We start from the raw sequence: 6,250 nt of genomic DNA, 5'->3' as shown, positions 1-6,250 counted from the left end.
GGATCTCCAGGACCTGGGCGTGGAAGCAGGTTTCCCAGGTCGTCACTCAGAGAGGCCGATGCTAAGGAGGAGCTGATTAAACCCAGTTGTGATTGACCCAGAGCTGCGGCTCCCGCCTAGGATCCCAGCAATTTGGGAGGCCAAGAGGAGTAGGTCACCTGAGGTCAGGAGTTCCAGACCAGCTTGGCCAACATGGTGAAATCCTGTCTCTACTAAAAATACAAAAATTAGCCAGGCGTGGTAGCTCACGTGTGTAGTCCCAGCTATTGGTGAGGCTAAGGCAGGAGAATTGCTTGAATCTGGGAGGTGGAGTTTGCGCCACTGCACTCCAGCCTGGGCTACAGAGTGACACTCTGTCTCAAAGAATAAAATAAATAAATAAACAAATAAACAAACCCAGTTAGGTTTGAGCACACGGAGTCTCTTTTCTTTTTGTTGGGAAGGGTCTTATGACCTGCCCAGAGCAATCAAGCTGCAATTTCAGTTTCTCAAAACTTGGTGTTTGAAATGTCTGTTCCAGATGCTGGACTTGTACTCTAAGTTTGGGATGGGGAATGCTAGATGGACTCTTTTTTTTTTCCTTTTATTACCATTATTATTATTTTAAGATAGGGTCTCACTCTGTGGCCCAGGCTGGAGTGCAGTGGTGCGATCCCAGCTCAGTGCAGCCTCCACCTCCACCTGGGTTGAAGCGATTCTCCTGCATTAGCCTCCCGAGTAGCTGGGACTACAGGTGGCCACCACCAAGCCTGGCTAATTCCAACTGCTATTTTTATCTTTATTCCTTCCATCAGACTGATGTTGAAATTACTCCTTTTGATTAACCACTGTGCCCTGGACCCCTCCCCGTCTTTTCTGTGACTCATCCTTTTGTTTTTGAGTGATGCAGTTTTGCTCATTACCCTCTCATGTAATTCTTTTCTTTTCTTTTTTTTTTTTTTGTAGGTAGAGAAAGACAGATTTATTACAGTAATTAGGAAAACGCCAGGATAGCAGGGAGGTAACTTGCATTTTTTTTAAAATAGTATTTATTGATCATTCTTGGGTGTTTCTTGGAGAGGGGAATTTGGCAGGGTCATAGGACAATAGTGGAGGGAAGGTCAGCAGATAAACATGTGAACAAGGGTCTCTGGTTTTCCTAGGCAGAGGACCCTGCGGCCTTCCGCAGTGTTTGTGTCCCTGGGTACTTGAGATTAGGGAGTGGTGATGACTCTTCACGAGCATGCTGCCTTCAAGCATCTGTTTAACAAAGCACATCTTGCACCGCCCTTAATCCATTTAACCCTGAGTGGACACAGCACATGTTTCAGAGAGCACGGGGTTGGGGGTAAGGTTATAGATTAACAGCATCCCAAGGCAGAAGAATTTTTCTTAGTACAGAACAAAATGGAGTCTCCCATGTCTACCTCTTTCCACACAGACACAGTAACAATCTGATCTTTCTTTCTTTTCCCCACATTTCCCCCTTTTCTATTCGACAAAACTGCCATTGTCATCATGGCCCGTTTTCAATGAGCTGTTGGGTACACCTCCCAGACGGGGTGGTGGCCGGGCAGAGGGGCTCCTCACTTCCCAGACGGGGTGGCCGGGTAGAGGCACCCCCCACCTCCCGGATGGGGCGGTGGCCGGGTGGAGGCTGCCCCCCACCTCCCTCCTGGACAGGGCGGCTGGTGGGGCGGGGGCTGCCCCCCACCTCCCTCCCGGATGGAGCGGCTGTCATGTAATTCTTTTCTTTGTATCTTTGGGTCCCCCTTTTTTTGTTTGTATGTTTTGTTTTTAACTCTTTTGACCTCTAGAAAGATCAAGGCTGAGAGTTGAGGCTGCAGTGAACCTTTTTGTCTTTAACTCTCTTGAACCCTAGTCACTGATTTTCTCAAGCCCCTTCATTTCGTACCTCATCCCCTCACATCCCCTCACAATGCAAGATCTGCTCAAAGTATAAATCCATATTTTGTAGGAAATCCTAGCTTACAAAACAATATCACATCTCTACCTCCAGCCCAGGTGACCCATTTTCCCTCAAAGGGGGTTGCTTAGGTCCTCTTGCACTGTTCAGGGGCAAAATAATTCCATAGTCTTCAAGATAACAGTACTTTTTTCTTCTAAGGCTCTGGCTGTCAAGGGTGAGGCTATCACCACCTCTTAAGGAAGTGGAACTACCGGTGTGCATCACCACCCCTGACCCATTTTTATTAATTTATTTTTTCTGTAGAGACTAGGTCCCACTATGTTGCCTAAGCTGGTCTCAAACTCTTGGCCTCAAGGAGTCCTCCTGCTTTGGCCTCCCAAAGTACTGGATTACAAGTGAGCCACTGTGCCTGACCATCCAGAAGACTCTATATTAAGTGTATAGGTAGGAGGTAAATCCAGGTCCTCCTCACCATTATTATGCCTCCAACAGTTATGCCTTTTTTTTCCCCCTTTGTAACTAGTTCTCTATGCTTACCAAATAGAGTCAGTAAGGCCAGGGAGGTGGGGTAGAAGTTTGTGTTGAAAACATAGAATCAGAAGTCCCTCCTTAAATTCACTGAGTTAGGATTTTCATATATGAGAGAGCTGCCCCACACTCCCCTGGCATGGGATAATGGGGCTGCTTGTTCAAGACAATACAGTCAGGAGCCCCCGACTCCCTCAATTGATTGAATTGGAATCTCCCAAAATGGTGCTGGGAATTCTATTTAGAAAAAAGACCATTAACTTTTAATTGGCAAATTAGGATCATTTACATTTATTATGCTCCATTGCCTAGTCTGAAGTGCAGTGGTGCAATGTTGGCTCACAGCAACCTCCGCCTCCCAAGTTCAAGCGATTCTTCTGCCTCAGCCTCCTAAGTAGCTGGGACTACAGGCACACATCACCACACCTAGCTAATTTTTTTATTTTTAGTAGAGACAGAGTTTCACCATATTGGCCAGGCTGGTATTGATCTCCTGACCTCAGGTGATCCATCCGCCTCGGCCTCCCAAAGTGCAGGGATTATAGGCGTGAGCCACCATGTCCAGACAGAGCTAGTCCTTGAGCACTGTTTATTGCTTCTCTCTTTGCCCTGTTACTCTGAAAGAGCTTTTATCAGACTAGGCATGGTGGCTTACACCTGTAATCCCAGCACTTTGGGAGACTGAAGGGGAAGGATTGCTTAAAAGCAGGAGTTTGAGAACAGCCTGGGCAACACAGAGAGACCCTATTTCTACAAAAAAAAAAAAAAAAAAAGCCGAATATGGTGGTGTGCCAGTAGTCCCAGCTACTTGAGAGGCTGAAGTGGGAGAGTCACATGAGCACAGGAATTTGAGGTTGCAGTGAGCTGTGATTGTACCACTGCACTCCAGACTGGGTGACAGAGCAAGACCCTGTCTCTAAAATAAAAATTTAAAAAATAACTTTTTTATCCTTGAGGGCTTTGCAACTGGGATTTCTTGCTGAGCCATTATCACACAGATGGAGAAGGCCAGGAAAAGGCCTGGAAGGAGCGGGCAGGAGACAGCCCATAAGCAGTTCTGCAGGGAGGTTTAGCAGGGGTGGAGTGGAGATTTGATCCTTGGAAGAAATCCTGTACTGCTGGGAGTTGAGATTCCTGAGAACTAGAGATCCTGAGAACTAGAGAGAAAAGAGCCTTGGGTGCACTTAGGTAAATTATATAAACACACTGAGCTGTCTTGGGTGCCCAGGATTTGGAAATGGGGCCTGGGGGCAGTAGAAGCTGGTGTACCAGAAGTCATATTTGGGGGAGGTTGTGGGAATGGAAAGGGTGGGTAAGCCCTGACCCTGAGGGTCTCACATGACTTTCAGCACATGGAGCCTCCATTGGGGACTTTGGCTTCAAAGCCATCAAGGTCAAGAGTGTGGACAAGTGTGGACACAGATGTGACTCTCCCCAGTGGATGCTGAAGATCTTAAAGGCGACTCTATGGGCCAGGAACATCTGGCACAGCTGACCCAAAGTGCTGGTCTTGTTCCATAAGCCATGGCTATGGGGAAAGCCTTAGGGGTTAACTGGTTCCTCCTGCCATCCCTCCCTCCCTCTCTCCCTTCCTTTTTCTTTTTGCTTCTTTCCTTTCCTTCTTCCTTTCTTTTTAGAGACAAGATCTCACCCTGTCACCCAGACTAGAGTGTAGTGGCACAATCATAGTTCAGTGCAGCCTTGAACACATTCGGAGGCCAGAGACTCAAGTGATCCTCCCACCTCAGCCTCCCAAGTAGGTGGGACTATAGGCACGTGTCACCTCACCTAATTATTTAAATGTTATGTGGAGGCAAGGTCTCGCTATGTCACCCCAGCTGGTCTGAAACTCCTGGCCTCAAGCCATCTTAGTGCCCTAAAGTGCTGGGACTACAGATGTGAGTCATCGCACCTGGCCTACTATTTCTTTCTTGACCCAAGAGAATTGGCTGGAGATGGATTTGACTTTTTTGGTCTCTGTGCACAGCCTGAATTCTTGGAGGCTGATGTGGATTGGATAATTTGAGGACATGTTCTTGAAGTGGTGACAAGGTGGGGCATTGCTTATCATATACCTAGGCTTGGAATAGTGGGAGGAGGGAACTGTTCTTGAATCTGGAGACAGAAAGAACTATTGGAAAGACCTCCTTACTCCCAGGAGAGAATATGTTGGGAACTGAATTGTGTTGCCCTCAAATTCACAGGAATAAGGTTTTTAGTCATCCTTTAAAATGAGGTCACAAGAGTGGGCCCTATTCCAATAGGAGTGGGGTCCTTATAAGAAGAGTAGATTAGGGCTGGGTGCAGTGACTCATGCCTGTAATCCCAGCAATTTGGGAGGCCAAGGCGGGAAGATTACTTGAGGTCAGGAGTTCCAGAGCAGCCTGGGCAACATGGCAAAAACCTGCCTCTACTAAATAATACAAAAATTAGTCGAGCATGGAGCAAGTAGCCTATTGTCTCAGCTCCTTGGGAGGCTGAGACAGGAGAATCACTTGAACCTGAGGCAGAGGTTGCAGTGAGCTGAGATTGCACCATTGCACTCCAGCCTGGACAACAGAGCAAGATTCCGTCTCAAAAAAAAAACCAAACAAACAAAAAACCAAGAATCGGAGACTAGGACGTAGATGGATGACTGTCTGAAGACAGGGGAAGAAGGCGGTAGCTGTGAACCAAAAAACAGGTTCTACCCAGACACAGATTCTGTCATGCCCGGGTGTTGGACATCCAGCCTCTAAAACTGCAATAAATAAATATTCTTGATGATACCCACTTTATGGTATTTTCATTCTAGCAGCCTAGACATATTAAGTAAGGCAAAGCCTGATTTTGCAATGACCTTGCAGTTCAGAGCTGGGGAGAACACTGCCTGTGCAGCACAGATTCCAAAGCCTGAATTTGCCCTAATTACCTGGGGCACTGGGGACTGAAAACAATTCCAATGGAAAGGACTGTACATCCTTGTGGTTGTAAACGATAAACAGACACTATAAATGAGCACCACAGACAAAGCCACATCAGTGCCAGTTTTTATCTTTGGAACCTATCTCCTGTTCATGTGCAAATCTGTAGGTCACAGAGACACCTTTGCTGGGACTTGTGCTGTTTTGGGCTACAGGGCGGCCTCTTCTGGACTGAGTTAGGATCCATTGACAGAATCCTCCCCTACTCCAGGAGATACTTTACCTCTCCAGTTTGGGTGTCTGAGTGATCATTCAACAGTGCATTATTAATGTTTGTTTATTTATTTTTTTTTTGGTGAGACATAGTCTTGTTCTGTCACCCATGCTGGAGTGCAGTGGTGTGATCTCAGCTCACTGCAACCTCTGCCTCCTGGCTTCCAGCAATTCTCCTGTCTCAGCCTCCTGAGTAGGTGGGATTACAGGTGTACGCCACCATGCCAGCCTTTTTTTTTTTTTTCTTTTTTTGATAGAGACGGAGTTTCACCATGTTGGCCAGGCTGGTCTTGAACTCCTGACCCCAAATGATCTGCCCGTCTCTGCATCCCAAAGTGTTGGGATTACAGGAGTAAGCCACTGCACCCGGCCAGTGTTTATTGTTCATTTCTACTTTTTCTCGCCTTTCTTTGTTTCTGTCAGGGAGAAACGATTCATCCTTATGCACATAGATGCCTTAACCTGACACTGAAGTTTGTTTCATTTTTTGTTTTCTTTCTTTTTTGAGACAGGGTCTTGCTGTGTTGCCCAGGCTGGGGTGCAGTGGTACAATCATAGCTCAGTGCAGCCTCCAACTCCTGTGCTCAAATGATCCTCCTGCCTTAGCCTCCTGAGAAGCTAGAACTACAGGCGTGTG

This window comes from Homo sapiens, chromosome Y (assembly GCF_000001405.40).
Source record: "Homo sapiens chromosome Y, GRCh38.p14 Primary Assembly".
Lineage (NCBI taxonomy): Eukaryota > Metazoa > Chordata > Mammalia > Primates > Hominidae > Homo > Homo sapiens.
This window is presented reverse-complemented; position numbering follows the sequence as displayed.